Consider the following 19886-nt stretch of genomic DNA (forward strand, 5'->3'; position numbering starts at 1 on the left):
TAAGCAAAAAGAACAAATCTGGAGGCATTACATTATCCAACTTCAAACTATACTACAAAGCTATAGTTACCAAAACAGCATGGTACTGGTATATACTACCTGCTTTTCTAATACATTGAAACCAGTGTTGTAGTACATCCCTATATTATAGGTTTAATAGTTACCATGTAAGTTCAATACCTTCAGTAAACCAAACTTTCCAATATAGTTTTTACGTGCATATAACATAATATTAAGACAAATCTAAATTTTTCACAATTATTTGCTAGATAAATGTGGAGTCCTAACTGGGAGGAGGTGGGGGCACAGAGTCAGGCTGGTGGGACCAGGGTAAAGCAAAAAGAAGAAGCAAATAAGCTACAATACAATTCTGCCTTTCTTCATGGTCCAGGACACATAGCTGTCCTCTGCAAACAACTCACAACCTTCCTGTGACCAGTTATCACTAGACCCTCAGCTGACAGAAAAATTGTTAAGTTAGCTCACTGCAACCTTGGCATTGATACTGCACAAAGCCCTCTTCAGCACAGAGCACAAGCTCCATTCTATAAAATCCTGTAAAATTTCCAGCAGGCCTTTGTCTCTTCGCAGTTAGCTCTTCTCTTGCTGACTTGCCTGTTGCTTTCTTGCAATGTATTTTCATACTTTCTGTAATAAATCTGTCTTTATTTATCTACAACTGTCTTGGTAAATTTTTCTTAACCCTATGTTACCAGCCCCAGATAGTCACTGTTCATTCACCAGAGTAAAGATATCACATGACTTGGCCAGGCACGGTGGCTCATCCCTGTAATCTCAACACTTTGGGAGGCTGAGGCGGGTGGATCGCTTGAGGGCAGGAACTCGAGACCAGCCTGGCCAACGTGGTGAAATACTGTCTCTACTAAAAATACAAAAATTAGCTGAGCATGGTGGCGTGCACCTGTAATTCAAGCTACTCAGGAGGCTGAGGCAGGAGAATCGCTTGGACTGGAGGCGGAGGTTGTAGTGAGCAGAGATGGCAAGACTCTGTCTCAAAAAAAAAAAAAAAAATCACATGACTTAATTCAAATAGCTATTGATTATTAGATAGAGACATATGAAAGTACCAACATTTGATCATTTTGACCTACAAAAACAGCCATGTCCAGGTATGGTGGCTCACAGCTGTAATCCCAGCACTTTGGGAGGCTGAGGCAGGAGTATTGCTTGAGCCCAAGAGTTCAAGGCTGCAGTGAACTATGACTACATCACTGCACTCCAGCCTAGGTGACAGAGCAAGACCCTGTCTTTAAAATTAATTAATTAAAAATAGCAATCATTTGATTCCATCTTATTTCATAGTGATTTTAAAATAGTATACACAAACCAAATAATAATAAAAGAGAATGGAGGAGGCAGTCACCACAGCAACATCAGCACTGCCACTAGCTCGCAGAGCTCCAGCCAAAGGAGAAGTGGGGTAAGTAAGAAGGTACCATAGCTCATACAAAGCAAACTGCCTGCAAATCGACCAGTGACAACGCACCCAGAAAGCAAATGGCTAAAAAAGCCACTCGAGAGGGAGTGTACCCTCTACTTAAAGGGTGAAGAAACCTCATCATTATAGGCCTGGTACTGTGGCACTCCTTGAAATTAGACATTAACAGAAGTCCCTTGAACTTATGATTTGCCAAATTCCCTTACACCATCAGCATGAGAACTAGCTCAGAACTTTAAAACAGATCTGCACTTCCAGAGCACAGCTATTGGTGTTTTGCAGGAGGCAAGTGAAGCCCATCTGGTTGGCCTTTTTGAAGACACCAAATTGTGTGCTATCCATGTGTAACAAATTATGCCAAAAGACATCCAGGTAGCATGCTGCACATGTGGAAAAGTGCTTAAGAATCCACTACGACGGGAAACATTCACTCTAAAAAAATTATCTTCTTCCTGTTGTTGGTAGTTCTGAACATTATATTTTTTCCTTGGGGTCAAAATGTACTTAAATATATGATTGTGAGTGGATAAACAGGGGACAGAAAACAGGTATTGGCAGTTTTTCCATTTTCATTTGTGTGTGAATTTTTAGTATAAATGCCAGGGATGTAAAGCATTAATGCAAGTCAAAATGTTTCAGTGAACAAGTTTCAGTGTTTCAACTTTATAATAGTTATAAATAAACCTGTCAAAATTTTCTGGACAGTGCCAGCATTTTTAAAACAAGTAAATTGCTTATTGATGGCAACTAAAGGGTGTTTGTTGCAAATTTATCATACAGTAGATTCCATCCATTCACTTTTCTAACTGAATTGTCCCACAGGCAAGTACATATTTTTAATGTTGCCTGTCTTCTGTGCTATCCCTGCAAGTTTGCTATCAAAATACATTAAACTACAAAAAAGAAAGAGAGAAGACATGAACCAACTGTTTTTAACTAGAATTAGATTTTGACTGATACATAAAATGTTTTTCCTACTTTCAAGATTATAGAACACGTATGGTTTTCACATCTAGAATTTTAAAAACTTAATGATGGGCAAGGCCTGAAAAATGAGGAAATTTACACAAAATATGAAAGTCCAAAATGACTCCCTCCCTCCCCTCCCCTCCCCTCCCCTCTTCTCTTCTCCTCTCCTCTCCTGTCCTTTTTCTTTTCTCTTCTCTTTTCTTTTCTTTTCCTTTTCTTTTTTCTTTTCAGACAGAGTTTCCCTCCATCACCCAGACTGGAGTTCATTGGTGCTGGGAGGCTCACTTCAACCTCTGCCTTGTGGGCTCATGTAGCTGGGATTACAGGCTTGTGCCACCATGCCTGGCTAATTTTTGTATTTTTAGTAGAGATCAGGTTTCACAATGTTGGCCAGGCTGATCTCGAACTTCTGCCTCGGCCTCCCAAAGTGCCAAGATTACAGGCATGAGGCACTGCACCTGGCCAATGATCATATTTTCATTAGAAAAGGTGTACTTTTTTTAAAGAAAGGTACGATAATACTGTCAAACTTTGGAGTTTCAGAGAAAACATCTAAACTGTTCTTTATTTGTTAGTTTAACATTATTTGAAAATACTGAAAAATACTAGAAAGAAAGTAATTTCTTCCAAACTAAAATTCCATAAAAAAGAAGACAAGCTGGGCACGGTGGCTCACGCCTGTAATCCCAGCTCTTTGGGAGGCCGAGGCAGATGGATCACTTGAAGTCAGGAGTTCGAGACCAGCCTGGCCAACATGTTGAAACCCCGCCTCTACTAAAAATACAAAAATTAGCTGGGCATGGTGGCATGTGCCTGTAATCCTCGCTACTGGGGAGGCTGAGGCACGAGAATCGCCTGAACCCAGGAAGTGGAGGTTGTAGTGAGCCGAGATTGCACCATTGCACTCCAGCCTAGGCAACAGAGTGAGACTCCGTCTCAAAAAAAAAAAAAAAGAAAAAAGACAAAGTCATCCACACCTTCTAATTCCTTTCTTCTGACATAGCTATGCCACACAGATTAGCTATATATACTTATAAATCATATTTATGCAAATGATATAAAATTGGCCTGTATCCAGTGTGATGGCTCTGATGAAAAAAAGATGGCCTATAACTTGTTTTTTCTTTTTCTATTAATTTTTTTTTTTTAGAGTTGGGGGTCTCACTATGTTGCCCAGCCTGGGCTTGAACTCCTGGCCTCAAGCAATCCTCCTACCTCAGCCTCCTGAGTAGTTGGGACTACAGGTGTGTGCCACCACAGCCTTGTTTTTAATTCTTAATTAATCATGGATGCTTTCCTGATCAGTACTGTCAACCTAAATAACAAAGAGCAGAGATGCTATAAAAGATATTTATTTTGGGGCTACAGCATTGCAATGAGAATATGTGTGCCATAGTAAATTATGTGCATATTCAGGGAGGTAAAGGAAGGCAAAGGTTTTTAAGGGAAAAAATGAGGAGGATCACAGAATTGTTTTGACATCATTATCCTTGGCTATAAAGATCAATAACAAGTGTGACGTTGGTGCAGGGTTGGAAAGGCAGTTGTTGGGCAGATGTCCCTGCAGAAGTATTTCTTGTGTAAGGCTGCAATGGATTTTATGAAAGATTGTGGTTTTTACAGAGTCTTTGTGATAGTTTTTATTATCAAGCATATAAGCATGAGAGCCTTTTCTTTATGATGTTCCCCAGCTCTATTTGTCAGTGGGTTTTGGTTTTGTTTTTTTTTTTTATTTGTTTTTTTGACATCAGTAACTTCATTTTGGTTCTGACAACATCCATATTTTCCTCTTTTCATCAAGATCTTTCTCCAAAAGCATCACTGATTAAACATCCTGTAGTTAGGTTTTGATGTTCCTCAGTACAGAATAGACCTGTCCTCGTTATTGGTCTTGTCTTACATTATAAGGAGTAATTGGCAACTAGGAGTCAGTGTCAAAACTCTTTTAGCCATGTTTGAGCAACAAAGGAGGTTTAAAGGGAGTAGCTCTAAGGCTAAGTCTACCTGAAGTCCATTAATAAGTTCTGTTCTGTGGTCTTTTGTTTTCATCTCAAAGTGCTGGGTCAGCATTATTTTGTTAGGAGTTGTACTTCCACAAAAATTGTAGAGTTAACATATACAAAGTTTAGAAAGGGAAAAGACAAAGTAAAATTAATAGTAATATGACTATTCTAATTTGTATAATTATTTTGAGCCATTAATCTAGGCTTAAAGATAACCAATTGAATAAATTAAATGACTATAGGGAATTAGGCGAGACCTATTGTAACCAGGCAAACTACTTTCTTACTTTGTGTGTATGGGTCTCAACTTTTCCAGAGGAATTTATCCAGGTATAGCACATAGTATTACCAATAGCACAGACATTTTCTTATTTAACCAATGGATACTAAACAATTTTGTTTAGTTTTGTTTTGTTTTGTTTGAGACAGGGTCTCTCTCTGTCACCCAGGCTGGGGTGCAGCGGTATGATCTTGGCTCACTGCAACCTCACCTCCCGAGTTCAAGTGATTCTCCTGCCTCAGCCTCCCGAGTGCCTGGGACTACAGGCGTGCACCACCATACCCGGTGAATTTTTGTGTTTTTAGTAGAGACAGGGTTTCACCATGTTAGCCAGGCTGGTCTTGAACTCCTGACCTCAGGTGATCCGCTCACCTTGGCCTTCCAAAGTGCTAGGGTTACAGGCATGAGCCACTGGGCCCGGCCTACTAAACAGTTTCTTAGGTTAGGCTCTCTTAAGTTACCAGCAGAATATACTGATGGTGAAATTTCAATTACATCATTAGCTTACCAAGCATAAAAGGTAGCATTAAGAGGGGTAAGAGTCTAATTATGATATGGAGTCTTGCTTCAATGTCTTGAGAAAAGCTATCTACAGCGTGAAAACATCAACTGCCGCTCCTGGTTTGTAATTTGAAAGTCTCTGGTCATGACACCAAGTGGTTTGGTAAACCTTTTGTGTGGCCCATACATCAGGCATGAGGTTTGTTTCTTAAATTTCATCTAGTTTTGACTTATAGGGATTTAGGAACAAAGAAGCTTACTGCCAATTATTGAAGGAAATTAGGAGAATTCAAGATCTGATCTAGTCTACAGGTAGATAACAAGAACTTGAAAAACAATGCACAGGGCTACTATCTAGTAACAGCCGTATTATATTTCTTTAGAAATATAACTTTTTCTCTCTACGTTGATCATTAGGAATCTCAGACTTAAAAACTTCTTGAGCATGGGAAGCCAAACCAAGGCAGACTTTAGACTTTATTTCAGTCTTAAGGTTCTTGCGTCTGCCAAGAAGTGACAATTTTTATTCACTCACTGTAAGGCTAGAAACTACTAAAGCCAGACATTTTGTGCACACTCTTAAATACAACATTTTATTCAAAGACTTGGTAAAAGGCTAGGGGCATTGGCTCACACCTGTAATCCCAGAAACTTGGGAGGCCAAGGCAGGAGGATCCTGGATAACTTGAGGCCAGGAATTTGAGACCAACCTGGGCAATATAGTGAGACCCCACCTCTACCAAAAAAAATTTTGTTTTTAATTAGCCAAGCATGGTGGTACACACCTGTAGTCCTGGCCACTTAGGAGGCTGAGGCAGGAGTTTCACTTGAGCCCAGGAGCTTGAGATCACAGTGAGCTTTGATCATGCCGCTGCACTCCAGCCTAGATAACAGAGTGAGACTCTGTCTCTAAAGAAACAAATAAACAAAAATGCAAACACACAAAAAAAGACTTGGTTAAAAAAAAAAAATCAGTGTTTCCAATCACATCCCATTTATGAAGAGAGAGCAAATTTTTATTGAACTTATGTAAATAAAGAATACTCATAAGAATTTGCCACTTTTGGGAAGAATCAAGTAAGGGAAAAAAGCAAAGGTGTTTCCATCTTTATTAAAAGTATACTTTACCAAATTCTTGTAAACTATAAATAGCTTAGGAGAAAAAAAGTTCTTAAATCTGAAAAACAAAACATTTAAATAAAGAACCAACAATGGTTTAAATAAGTCATAAAAACATTATCAATTACTTAATTTCATGTAACTAATTTATCGTTTTGCTTGATCTTGATTAGCAGTTTTATGAACCTATAAATTTCCTTATTAGAGTTCTGAAGATTTTTATTTCATTCATTGATCTTAAAGTTATCAGAAATCTGTGTTCAAGACTACTTGTTAGAGTCTTTCCATGCAAAGCCATTTTGGACTATAGCTGATTGCAAATGCTTTTAGAGAAGACTTCAAAGCAATAACTGTGGATGACAGAAACTTAGAATAGTCATGGTTAAAAATCTGATGAAAGTTCCTGGCCAGGCACAGTGGTTCACACCTGTAATCCCAGCACTTTGGGAGGTTGAGGTGGGCAGATTGCTTGAGCCCAGGAGTTTGAGACCAGCCTGGGCAACATGGTGAAAACCCATCTCTACAAAAAATACAAAAATTAGCTGGGTGTGATGGTGTGCAACTATAGTCCCAGCTACTCGAGAGGCTGAGATAGGAGGATTGCTTGCTTGAGCCCAGGAAGCGGAGGCTGCAGTGAGCCAAGATCGCACCACTGCACTCCAGCCTGGGCAACAGAGTGAGACCTTGTCTCAAAAAAATAAAAAATAAATAATTTCCCAATTGACAAGGAAATGTAGTTATTTCCATTACATGCAGCATTTTAAGATGACAATCAGGCCAGGAGCGGTGGCTCACGCTTGCAATCCCAGCACTTTGGGAGGCCAAGACCAACAGATCATGAGGTCAGGAGATCGAGACCATCCTGGCTAATATGGTGAAACCCTGTCTCTACTAAAAACACAAAAAATTAGCCAGGCGTGGTGGCACGCACCTGTAGTCCCAGCTACTCAGGAGGCTAAGGCAGGAGAATCGCTTGAACCCAGGAGGCGGAGGTTGCAGTGAGCCGAGATCACACCACTGCACTCCAGCCTGAGTGACAGAGCGAGACTCCACCTCAACAACAAGAAAAAAAAGAATCAGAATCATGACTGACAATGTCATATCAGGAGGATCAAACTTTTATAAATTTTATACAACTCTTAGAATACTCACATTAATACATACCCACACAAATTTAAGTTTAGGAAAGATTTAACATAGCCACCAAAATTATGACTGTAACATATTTTTATGAATTGATATAATTTTACAACATTTATATCAATAGCATAAACATAAATGTAACTGAAGGAATATCTAGTATCACTTATTTTACAATGCTTCCCATACAATTTACCAAATAAGCCTAATTATTTAATATATCTAAAAGATAAGAGACACAACTTTGAGGCTCTCCAGGGGCCCAGCTGGAAAATCCCACTGTTAATTTTAAGTAAAAAATATTTAGTTTCAGATTTTGATGATGTGGGTGGGGGCAGGACCTGCCAAAGATGTTAAAAAGTTCAAAACACCTGATCAAAACAAAATCACAGGTTACTGTAAAATAATAGCCATTAATTTAACCAGAGTGACAAAAGACTTCAAAAGCAATACAGAAAGTTACATGGATGTAAAAACCTTAACCCTTTTAAAGCTCAGTTTTTCTATGTAGTCCAAAACCTAATAAAGACAAGATAGGAAATTATCTTGATAAAATGTAAAATCTTTGTTTTTTCAGGCCAGTTACCAAAACATAAAGAAAAATCTCTTGTAGTGTGATTGCTTCTCCTTATGGGAAGCCCATTTAGATAATCTGGAAGTCAATGCTGTTGAAAAGGGTACTTGAATTTAATCAGGCACAGGAAGAATGTATCTAGGGTTAAGAATATACATTACATTATACAGGAATGTAAACAAGAAAACTAATACCTTGAGTGAGGGAGTACATGGCTCTCACTAACAACATAGGAAGTTTCCTGATTACATGGAACAATTTAGGCACATCAATAAAAGCCAAGAGCACAGAATTGGGTTATACTGGAGGAACACACTGTGTTTCTAGGCCTTTAAGATAAATATTTCAGTGCTTGCTTTGACAGCACATATACTAAAGTTGGAATGATACAGAGAAGATTAGCATGGCCATAAGCTGCTAAAAAATAATAATTTTTTTTAAATTTCAGCATCAGACTGTAACAGTAGAGTTGGAAGAAAAAAAAAGTTGCAGAAATTGATGAATAGATTGAAGGAGAAAGTTATCACCTCAGCCAAGAAAAAAGATACACCTCTTCAAAGGACGAAAGAACAAAGGGCAAGATGTATGACCTGCAAATCACATGTAGCAAGGTACAGCAAAAGTTGAACTTTTTCTTTTTTAAGTTAACATTGAACTTCTAGGCTGGACATGGTGGCTCATACCTGTAATCCTAGCACTTTGAGAGGCCAAGGCAGGTGGATCACTGAGCCCAGGACTTCAAAACTAGCCTGGATAATATAGGGAGACCCTGTCTTTACAAAAAATGAAACAAAAATTAGCTGGATATAGTGGCACACACCTGTAGTCCTAGCTACTCAGGAGGCTGAGATGGAAGGATTGCTTGAGCACACAAGGTTAAGGCTGCAGTGAGCTGTTACTCCAGCCTGGGTGACAGAGTGAGAACTTGTCTCAGAAAAAAAAAAAAAAAAAAAAAAGGCTGGGCGTGGTGGCTCACACCTGTAATCCCAGCACTTTGGGAGGCCAAGGTGGGCTGATCACTCAAGGCCAGGAATTTGAGACCAGCCTGGCCAACATGGCAAAACCCCGTCTCTACTAAAAATACAAAATTAGCTGCGCATGGTGGCACTCACCTGTAGTCCCAGCTACTCAGGAGGCTGAGGGAGGAAAACCGCTTGAACCTGGGAGGCGGAGGTTGCAGTGAGCCAAGATCCCGCCATTGCACTCCAGCCTGGGTGACAGAGTGAGACTCCATCTGAACAAAAAAAAAAAAAAAAAGTTGAGCTTCTGAAATATAAATCTGAGAAGTTACAAAAAGAAAAAATTTTACCTTGAGAAATAAAATTACTAGTCTCAATGAAAAAGATAGCATCAGGCTGGGCACGGTGGCTCACGCCTGTAATCCCAGCACTTTGGGAGGCCAAGGCAGGTGGATTACCTGAGGACAGGAGTTCAAGACCAGCCTGGCCAGCACGGTGAAACCCTGCCTCTACAAGAATATAAAAAATTAGCTGGGTGTGGTGAAGGATGCCTGTAATCCCAGATACTCCAGAGGCTGAGGCAGGAGAATCGCTTGAACCTGGGAGGCAGAGGTTGCAGTGAGCCGAGATTGTGTCACTGCACTCCAGCCTGGGCAACAGAGCAAGACTCTGTCTCAAAAAAAAAAAAACAAACAAAACAAAACAAAGACAGCATCTCCAATCTAAAACTTGGGAAACTAAATAGATCTCAGGAAGAAATGTGGCAGAAATACAAACTGTTAGCAGTTCAGAAGATGGCTGTTAAAGAAACAGATTTGACAATTAAAAATCAAAACCTCTGGTAATTTTATTAAGAGCAAATGAATACTTAAAGAAAATCCTGTTGTTCTAACATAGGGGAGCAAATTTGTTTAGTTTTGTATTAGTGTATTTTTAATATTAAAGCTCAATTTTACAAAGACTCATAAATAATTGCCTTCTAATTATAGCTAACTTGATCATAAACAAAATTCCTCTCATAAAGTTCGCTTTCACAAACCTTATCACAACTTATTCAGACCACTGATGACATGCTTGAATTTTCTGCTTTGTCTTATACTTCTCTTTCTTAACTAGTCATTTTACCTTAGGACAAAAACTTACCATACAAGAATCTTTCTTATACAAAATTATTCTCTATTCTTTTTAACCTTCTTTACCAAAAATACATCCTCATATCCATAACTTTTTTCAGTACTAATGGATCTACTTCACTGGCTTAAATAGCTGCAAAGCGTTCTGCCAAAAAGATTTTCCATGGTGTATTTGATAATTTCTCTATCCTTGTAATATATCTTTCCATACTTGGCTGGGCGTGGTGGCTCAGGCCTGTAATCCCAGCATTTTGGGAGGCTGAGGTGCGTTGATCACTTGAGGTCAGGAGTTGGAGACCAGCCTGGCCAACCTGGCAAAACCCCGTCTCTACTAAAAATACAAAAATTAGCCAGGCTAGTGGCACATGCCTGTAATCCCAGCTACTCAGGAGGCTGAGGTGAGGGAATCGCTTGAGCCCAGGAGGCGGAAGTTGCAGTGAGCCGAGATCATGCCACTGCACTCCAGCCTGGGCGACAGAGTGAGACCCTGTCTAAAAAAAAAAACAAAAAAACAAAAAAACAAAAAAATACATATATACACACACACACACTATATATATATATATCCACTATATATACATACACTATGTATATATATACAGTATATACACTATATATATACACACAGTATATATATACACTATGTATATATGTATATATATACACTTTATATATATATATACTTTTTTTTCCCTATACTTAACGTTTGTGTGATTGCTGAAAACGTTGTGGCTCCTTTACACTGGGGTGGTGAACAATGGTTTGGCAAACTTTGAGGTCATCAAAGCATCTTCTTGAAAAATATGACTTTAGAAAATAGCCAACATTTGTATTAGACTATGCTCTTCAGAAACAAAAGAATCAGAGAAAGAAAAGCAGTAAGAAATTTACAAATATGTACACATACAAATAGGGAGAAAGATAAAGTAATTATCTCACATGTATTTATTTATAATAAAATTATATTTAGAAGAATAGATAAGGAAGCTAGTTATAAAATGAGTCTTTTAACCTCCTAAAGCAAAGGAGTTTAAAGTCCAAAGCTCAGAGTGCTACTTAATCCTTTTTTGTGTATGTTCTGAAAACTAAAGTTTGTCGACCTGCAGAAGTAATGAAGCAGTTCTGTTTGTAAAGTGAAGCTAATGAAAAATACAAAATCCTAATCAGATTTAGTTTGGAGTCAGCTTTAAAGAACAGCACTTTCGGGCTGGGCTTGGTGGCTCAGGCCTGTAATCCCAGCACTTTGGGAGGCCGAGGCAGGCAGATCACCCGAGGTCAGGAGTTCAAGACCAGCCTGTCTCTACTAAAAATACAAAAATTAGCCGGGCGTGGTGTGTGCACCTGTAGTCCCAGCTACTTGGGAGGCTAAGGCAGAAGAATTGCTTGAACCTGGGAGGTGGAGGTTGCAGTGAGCCAAGATTGCGCCACTGAACTCCAGCCTGGGCCACACAGTGAGACTCCGTCTCAAAAAAAAAGAACAGAATAGCACTTTCAGAAAACTGTGTTACATCCCATTAGTGCATTCCTTCTGCTGTTATTAACTGGAGATAAGAAGTGAAGAAAAAATACCAAGAAAGAAGGCAGCCATCAGCAGACTCAAATAAATAGGGAAAATACAACAATGATGACCTATGAAAGTACCACTTTTATGCATTATTTCATGTTTAAATACTTGCTTCTAGGTCCATGGATTATATTCTACCTATCATCACCACATTATAATGATAATAAGAGACCATGAACTTTGGAGTCTAGATGGACTTCAGCTCAAATCCTAGGTCTACAATTTTCTAGCTGAGTCACCTTGGCAAGGTCATTTAACCTTTGAGTCTATGTTCACTTATAAAATAAGAATGGCCAGGTGTGGTGGCTCATGCCTGTAATTCCAGCACTTTGGGAGGCCAAGGCGGGCGGATCACAAGGTCAGGAGTTCAAGACCATCCTGGCCAACATGGTGAAACCCCATCTCTACTAAAAATACAAAAAAAAATTAGCCGGGTGTGGTGGCAGGCGCCTGTAGTCCCAGCTACTCTGGAGGCTTAGGCAGGAGAATGGCATGAACCCGGGAGGCGGAGCTTGCAGTGAGCCGAAATCGCGCCAATGCACTCCAGCCTGAGTGACAGAGCGAGACTCCGTCTCAAAAAAAAAAAAGAATGACAGTAGATGTTCAGTAAAGGTTGGTTAGGAGATCTGGATAGTATACCTACCAAATCATATTGAGAGTACTGCCTTTACATAAATAAAATAGCTATACTATCCTGAAAGTGTGGTTCTCAGATCAGTACCACCTTTGAGCTTATTAGAAATGCAAATTCATGAATCCTACCCAGACCTATGTAATCAGATGGTCTGGGATAGGGCCCAGGAAACTGCTTTATAAGCTCTTTAGTTGATTCCTATGCATGTTAAAGTGTGAGAACTACTGCCTCGGAGATCAGCTAGAAATTATTTCCATGTGATCAATTCCATTAATGAACACGAAAGGATCTAGTGGTCATCTGCAGGACCAATTTATCTGCTAGGCACAAGAGGCACAGTGCCAAGGGCCCATGACAACTTTAAGGTCTTATGAAAATGTTTTAATTTTTTTTAATCAAAAGAAAAAATAAACATAATGATAATAAGTATATAACAACAAATCCAGTCTGGATTATATTTTATCTTTATATCAAAGTAGTTGTAAAATTAACTAATCTAAAATTTTTAAATGTAGTTTTATATATAGCATTTAAACTCTGGCCAAAAAAAGTTTGATATATTTCCTGTGGAGGAAGGGCCTGATGAAGTCATAGTGCTTAGGGCCCAGGAAAGTCATAATGCAGCCTAGTCACCTGAAAACTTCTCTGTTCACTTATAAATGTTGACCCTGAAGGAGCCTGGTAGGAACTATGTATAAGAAATGTGTGCTATTTTGAGGATACATTCACTTACAATTTTTAAAAGATTAGTTTCGAGCTTCATTTAATCAAAAGTTTAAAATTATAAGCATTAAAATGGCTGATAAATCACCTGCTAAAACCCTAGGAAAAAAATCTGCAACATGGAACAGGGACAGAAATCGTTAACTAAAGAGAAGAACTGGAAATTAAAAATGAGCATGAAATATGGTAGGATTAATAAAACAATAATAAGATAATCAGCAAGTTGGAAGTGAAATGGGATAATGTAGAAATTATGTTAGGACAGAAATTTACATCCTTATAACAGAAATGAATATACTATTTTCATATAATGCTCATCATTTCATCTGGCACAAATACACTTAGCCCTTGAAAAACCATCAACCAACCAATCACTAATTGCAGAACCTGCTATTGTCTCCTGAAACTTGTATTTAGTTGTGGATTAACTATATACTGCATGTCTCAGTGTGGTGCCTAGAAGAATGGGATTTAATAATTATGTTTTCAAAGAAATATATGTATTAAAACAGTTACTATTTTATTAATCATTATTAAGCTCTACCAGCATAGAATATGGGTCAGTTTATCCAAGTAGTTTTATACACAGCACTTTAAATTTGGCTAAACTAGAGGAAACATCCCCTATGATACAAAAGAATTTGCAGCTTTAGGGATAACATACACAAAGAGAAAACTTTGTTATATGTCTATAACCAACTCAAATCTTCCTTTTGTCAATTCCCAGCCCCCTCAGAGCAACTCAGATTATTTCAGCATTATAATCTTCAAATCCAAACCCTAGGTTCACACCTCAATTGCTGATCCCTTTTAGAGTATCTTTCCTGGATTTCTACCAAAATGTTATTTGGGGCATAGACATTTTCTGAACCTCTGAGAAGACTGTATTACAGCATTATAATCTTCACATCCAAACCCTAGGTTCACACCTCGATTGCTGATCCCTTTGAGAGTATCTTTCCTCAATTTCTACCAAAATGTTACTTGGGGCATAGACATTTTCTGAACCTCTGAGAAGATTTGTATCACATAGTCTTTAAGGAGTCTGGGTTCTAGAATTCTATGATTCTAAATTTTCCTTGGGAAAAAATTATTTTTGATACTTTGTATTATTTACTCATTAAGCAGATATGTATTAATATCTATTGGTGCAAGATTCTATTCAGACAAAAAGTGCATTGCAGATGGAGGGTAAAACATGTCCAAAGGCTCTAATGTAGAAAAGAGAAACTGAAAGAATTGAAAATGGCTGGAGCTTAATGAAGAAGATGAGAATGCTGCAAGAGGAGGCTAGTGAGGTAGGTAGGGAGGGCCTGGGATTTAGGACTTTATCCTAAGAGCAAAGGGAAATCTTTGAGTGGTTTTAAACAGTAAAGTGCTTTGATCTGATTTACATTGAAAAAAAAGAGAGGCCAGGCACGGTGGCTCACACCTGTAATCCCAGCACCTTGGAAGGTCAAGGTGGGTGGATCACTTGAACTCATGAGTTCAAGATCAGCCTGGGCAACATGGTAAAACCCTGTCTACAAAAAATACAAAAAAAATTAGCTAGGCATGGTGGTGCACATCTGCAGTCACAGCTACTTGGGAGACTGAGGTAGGAGAGGTAGGAGGATCACTTGAGCCTGGGAGGCAGAAGTTACAGTGAGCCGAGATTGCACCACTGAACTCCAGCTTGAGCCAGAGAGCCAGACCTTGTCTCAATAATAATAACAATTAATTAATTAATTTTTAAAAACATTATTGTGGCTTTTGTGTGAGAAATGGATTAGAGGAGGGGTAGAGAGATTAAGGAATAACCTGTTTGAAGCTATTATTGTAGTATAGTGAAAGATTATAGTGGCTAAGATTGATGGGGAGACACCGGAACTGGAAAAAATATGTATAGATTCAAAAGATAATCAGGAAGGAGATTTGATTTAAAAAAGAGGGGAAAGAGGAGAGAGAAGGAGCGAGAAAGAGAGATGAGAGATTCCTAGTTTTCTGGCTTGTGAAACCAGAAATGCATGAATGACATTAATAAATGACAACGCTATTCACCAGGCTAAAAAAACCAGGAAAGGGGCCGGGCGCGGTCGCTCACGCCTATAATCCAGCACTTTGGGATGCCGAGGCGGGTGGATCACCTGAGGTCAGGAGTTCGAGACCAGGCTGGCCAAGGTGGTGAAACCCCGTCTCCACTAAAAATACAAAAATTAGCCGGGCGTGGTGGCGGGCGCCTGCAATCCCAGCTACTCGGGAGGCTGAGGCAGGAGAATCGCTTGAACCTGGGAGGCGGAGGTTGCCGTGAACCGAGATCATGCCATTGCACTCCAGCCTGGGCGACAAGTGAAACTCCGTCTCAAAAAACAAACAAACAAAAATCTTCTACACACTTTACCTTGTTTCCCATTCCATGTGTTGCTGTAACACATGGTAATTACCACTAATTTAGCAATTTAACACAAATTTTTTTCTGATAGTTCTGCAGGGTCAGAAGTCCAATACCTTTCTGATTGGGCTAAAGTCAAAGTGTCAGTTTTCCTTTCTGGAGACTCTTGAGGAGAACTGATTTTCTTGCTTTTTCCAGCTTCCAGAGGCCACACACATTCCTTGACTCCTGGCACCTTCTTCCATTTTCAAAGCCAGCATATATGCATTTTAAAAGCAAAGATTTATTTTTAATTAAAAAAACAATTTTTCCAAATGGAATCAAGCTGCTGAAAGTTTTTTTTTTTTTTTTTTTGAGACGGAGTTTCGCTCTTGTTGCCCAGGCTGGGGTGCAATGGCACGATCTCCGTTCATCGCAACCTCCGCCTCCCGGATTCAAGCGATTCTCCTGCCTCAGCCTCCTGAGTAGCTGAGATTACAGGCACGTGCCACGACGCCCAGCTAATTTTGTATTTTTAGTACAGACGGGGTTTCTCCATGTTGGTCAGGCTGATCTTGAACTCCTCCCGACCTCAGGTGATCCACCCGCCTCGGCCTCCCAAAGTGCTGGGATTACAGGCGTGAGCCACCGTGCCCGGCCTTAAAGATTTTTTTAAAACTACATGTTGAAGTCTGTACAAATGGCCAGTTACCCACATTTGCCTATTACCTACACTTCTCAGTATTATACTGTCATTGGCACAGACGATGTCATAGAACACCACAACAGGATCATGCAATAACCTCAGGCAACAAAAATAAATTACATTCATTACACTACTCTTGCCAATCAGGAAAGATTATTGGTTCGCATTAGGAAAAAGATTTTAAAGGACGTTTTAAACAATAAGCCTTTCCGCTTAGGCCTTCGTTAATAGCACAACTGAATTAGAACAGTCCATTCCCCAAAGACTGCACTTAATCATGTCGGTTTTCTGCATCATTTTAATTGCTGTTGACTTTTCATTGACATTTAGCATAGATTTTTGCTCATTTTTGTTTTTTAAAGAACGATACTGAAAGACAAGAAAAATGCTATCAGAGGACTACAAACCTACAGGAGTTGAGTTTCAGTCGTGAAACATTATAATCATTTTCTGTGCTTTCCATATTTCCTTGAATGAGAATGTATTATTTTTATAATAAGAGAAAATTTTTAAAGGAAAAGAAGTTAAAAAAAAAAAAGGCCTCACTTGTAAGGTAGGGTATGGTTTTTTCAAGTCTCAGGCACGTAAATGACAAGGGACTTTTTAAAAAACAAAAAAACACTGCCATTTAAAGCTGACTGGTAGGATCTTCCCTGCTAAATTATTTTGGAAACTTCTTTAAAAATAAATGTAGACCACGAATCATTTACTAAACATATGATTCCAGTACCTCACTACCTTTTCTCTTCGGTTGGCTGTAGTTTAAATTCTAAGGTCTCCTCAAGAAATGACATTTTCACATTTCTTAGGCATCTGTGGTGCCAGAGGAGCAAACCCATCGCACACGCCAGGTCTGCCATGGGGCCCTGGGCGGTGGGGATTTTGGATGTAACGTGTCTAGGCCGAGCCCGCGCCGTGAAAGGCCTACCCTGCCGAAAGCCCGGGCGGCGGGCGCCCACAAGTCAGGGCTCGGTGCGGCGCCGCAGCCAGCTCTGCCCGCGAGCCGAGTCCGGGCTGCTGAGGGGGAGCCGCGCTGGGGGCGGCGGCGTCGGGGCGGGGGCGGGAGCCGGGCGGCAGCTCCAGCGCCCGTGGGGGAGGAGCGGCAGCGGCGGCGGCTGGAGCTGCTGTGGCGACCGACGCGAGGCGGTGGCAGAGGAGACCCACCCCTGTCCACATGGACAGTCGCAAAGGCCTCCGCTGATGCATTCACGCCTGGGCGGGGTGGGCGGACGGCCGTAGCGGCGGCGGCTGCAGAACGAGCTAGGGGCCTGGGGGCGCCTGACGGTCGCAGAGACCTCGCCGCTCCGGCGCGGCGGGTGCGGCCATTTTACGGCCTGGGACGAAGGGAGGCGTGTTTGTGTGCTCGCTTTCATTCTCCTTTCTTGGGAACCCACGGCTGGGGGAAGTTTCTCAGGCAGCCTGGGTGGGCGGTGGATGGGGAGTCGTGGGCCGAGAGGAACCGGGCCCGGGAAGCGCCGTCGTCGTCGTCGCCGGTCGCGTTCCCCCGGAGAGGCCTGAGAAGCTCGGGCCGCGGGCCTCGCTGCCCGCCAGCCCGCGGACAGGCCCGGGCGCGCCTGGCCTGCCTTTGTATAGGCCCGTCTGAACGTGGGAGCGCAGCCCGCCTGACGGCTGAGCCCGAGGCCCGCAACCCTGCGGCGTCTACCCTCCTCCGGCGCGGCCCCTCATCCCGGCGAGCACGGCGGCGGTGTGGGCCATGGATTAAGAAGGAGGCGGCGTGGGAGGAGGAAGATGGCGGCCGGCAAGAGCGGCGGTAGCGCAGGGGAGATTACTTTTCTGGAAGGTACGTCTGTTTCTGCCCTTGACGGGGAGAAGGGAGGGTATACTGGAAAACGTGGCCCCCAGAACCCCGGATATTCAGTTATCTGCGCTGGGTGGGTTTCGGGGGCGGTGAAGTACGAGGGATGAGCGATGACGGGGAGGGAGTGTGCTGCGAGCGCACCTGGTTCGAGTCCGCCTAGGCGAGGGGCTCGGCTGCGAGCCGGTTCGGCCCAGGGGGCGCGGGTGGATTGAGCTACGAGCCAGAGTTGGTGGGCGTCCTTTGAGAGTGCGCGCTGAAGTCTTTGACATTTAAAAAATTTTGGGGTGGTGGCCTAAGGATGAGAGCAGCCAGCATTCACATCTTGTCTGGTGTTCATGAAAAGTTTCAAATTGCTAAGGTTGGGTGCAACTGGGGACCAATCTAAGTAGGGAGGGGACAGACAGTTTCATTGAGGTGTGTTTTATACCCTCTGGTCTGTTTCTCAGAGTTTCAGGCTTGCTTTTGCAGCCAGCCTTCAGATTAGGCCTGGCCTTGTCTGATATTCTTTCGGAATGTGTTTTTATAAAAATATTCTGTAAAATAATTTATCTGGAAAAAGAGTAAGGTTTACAGTGTCAATTTTGGGGCCGTAACTAAAGCTTATTGACACAATTTGAGTTTTACTCACTCGTGAGGGAAAGTTAAACATTTGCTGTAAGTAGACTAAGCCAGCCTCAAGAAAAGCTGTATGTTTTTGTTGGGGAAGGTGGTAATGGGGAACAATATTGATTTTTTTGGCCTATGAATATATAAGGACCCCCAAAATAGAGCTAAATGTTATTGTAATTGTAGCCCAAGAAGTGTTTATATTACTTAATTTGACTATGGGTTCAGTGTTTACACTTTGTTTAGCAAAATGAGTCTCTGCTGCTCAGAGACTCATTCTTCTTGTTAAAAAGAATTAACTACTCTTTGGATAATTTTGCAAAGATGATTTTCATTGCAATATGTCATAAGCTTTACTTCAAAAAATAACTTCTTTTAGTATGTTTCGGAAAGATTACTGAATCAAGAAAGTACAATTTAACTTAAAATTAAGAAAATCCCTAAACAGGTTCTATAGGAGGGTGTTGAGGAATGGGAATGCTTTGGTACTGCTTTGTTAACAGCACCTCGAACAGTGCCTGGAACACAGTAGGTACTCAGTGTTAGTCTAGTGAAAGAATAGTGAATAATAGAGGTAATTTTTCTTAATTCTTCTTACTTGAGTATAGTAAAGTGAAAAAAAAGTCTTACCGTACAAGCCAGCCTTTATCTAAAAGTGATGAGAACTTTACAGGAGATTTCCTAGTAAGAGTAAGAAAAGCTTCTGAGTTTTTCTGGGTTCGTTTCGTATTACCTCCATTCCAGTTTGCGGAATGGGTACCTGTCGAGGCTGAGAGGGTGCAGCTTGTGTTACAGGTAGTGCTATGTGTGTTGTTTTTGTTTTGAAATTGGAAACAAAAGATGGCTTACTCGTGCTTATTATCTTCAGTATGCAGATGATTATACTTTTGTGCTATCCTAGATTTCCAGCTTCTATAGGCCCGATTGAGTTAAAATTCTAATTGGATGAACATAGGGAGGATTAAAACAAGCACAAATAAAGCCACAGATGTAGAGTTAATGTGAGTTTCAAACTACTACTTTTACTTTATTCTAATCTAAGGGTCTTTGAATGTATAGGTATGATAAATTCGAGTTTCACCATGTCTTAAGCATTTTTATAAAGCAAGCAAACGGTAACTTCTTTAGAGCATAAGCATAAGGGTTCTGGGCACGGTGGCGGCACGCCCTTAATCACACACAGCATTTTGGAGGGCCGAGGCAGGCGGATCACTTGAGGCCAGGAATTGGTGACCAGCCTGGCCAACATGGCGAAACCCCACTCTACTAAAAATACAAAAATTAGCCGTGTGTGGTTGGCGCGCGCCTGTAGTCCCAGCTACTGCGGAGGCTGAGGCAGGAGAATCG

At 41.0% G+C, this 19886-nt stretch overlaps 1 protein-coding gene and 2 pseudogenes across 3 annotated transcripts in view, besides 6 other annotated features; all 3 read left to right on the top strand.

Annotated features, from left to right (window-relative positions):
* Positions 1390 to 2000, top strand: H3P27 (H3 histone pseudogene 27; annotated as a pseudogene).
* RNU6-1338P (RNA, U6 small nuclear 1338, pseudogene) lies at positions 8394 to 8484 on the top strand (annotated as a pseudogene).
* Positions 17008 to 17557: an enhancer, noted in NCBI's record as "NANOG-H3K27ac-H3K4me1 hESC enhancer chr6:76311385-76311934 (GRCh37/hg19 assembly coordinates)". NCBI's record gives its function as "activates a minimal SCP1, AML or CMV promoter by ChIP-STARR-seq in naive H9 embryonic stem cells {active_cell/tissue: H9 hESC(naive)}" and the evidence as "EXISTENCE:reporter gene assay evidence [ECO:0000049][PMID:30033119]".
* Positions 17021 to 17310: a silencer, noted in NCBI's record as "silent region_17340". NCBI's record gives its function as "represses an Ori minimal core promoter by ATAC-STARR-seq in GM12878 lymphoblastoid cells {active_cell/tissue: GM12878}" and the evidence as "EXISTENCE:reporter gene assay evidence [ECO:0000049][PMID:35858748]".
* Positions 17112 to 17406: a silencer, noted in NCBI's record as "tiled region #3954; HepG2 Repressive DNase unmatched - State 1:Tss". NCBI's record gives its function as "represses a minimal TATA promoter and a strong SV40 promoter by Sharpr-MPRA in HepG2 cells {active_cell/tissue: HepG2}" and the evidence as "EXISTENCE:reporter gene assay evidence [ECO:0000049][PMID:27701403]".
* SENP6 (SUMO specific peptidase 6) overlaps positions 17219 to 19886 on the top strand; it is a 116402-nt gene continuing 113734 nt past the window's right edge. For all 3 annotated transcript variants that reach the window (NM_015571.4, NM_001100409.3, NM_001304792.2), the window contains exon 1: positions 17219 to 17915. In NM_015571.4, the coding sequence (NP_056386.2) occupies positions 17864 to 17915 (52 nt within the window). In that variant the 5' untranslated portion in view covers positions 17219 to 17863. The remainder of the gene's footprint in view (positions 17916 to 19886) is intronic.
* Positions 17661 to 17810: a silencer, noted in NCBI's record as "silent region_17341". NCBI's record gives its function as "represses an Ori minimal core promoter by ATAC-STARR-seq in GM12878 lymphoblastoid cells {active_cell/tissue: GM12878}" and the evidence as "EXISTENCE:reporter gene assay evidence [ECO:0000049][PMID:35858748]".
* Positions 18071 to 18130: an enhancer, noted in NCBI's record as "active region_24759". NCBI's record gives its function as "activates an Ori minimal core promoter by ATAC-STARR-seq in GM12878 lymphoblastoid cells {active_cell/tissue: GM12878}" and the evidence as "EXISTENCE:reporter gene assay evidence [ECO:0000049][PMID:35858748]".
* Positions 19296 to 19825: an enhancer, noted in NCBI's record as "H3K4me1 hESC enhancer chr6:76313673-76314202 (GRCh37/hg19 assembly coordinates)". NCBI's record gives its function as "activates a minimal SCP1, AML or CMV promoter by ChIP-STARR-seq in naive H9 embryonic stem cells {active_cell/tissue: H9 hESC(naive)}" and the evidence as "EXISTENCE:reporter gene assay evidence [ECO:0000049][PMID:30033119]".

Source organism: Homo sapiens, chromosome 6, assembly GCF_000001405.40.
Source record: "Homo sapiens chromosome 6, GRCh38.p14 Primary Assembly".
NCBI classification, from domain to species: Eukaryota; Metazoa; Chordata; class Mammalia; order Primates; family Hominidae; genus Homo; species Homo sapiens.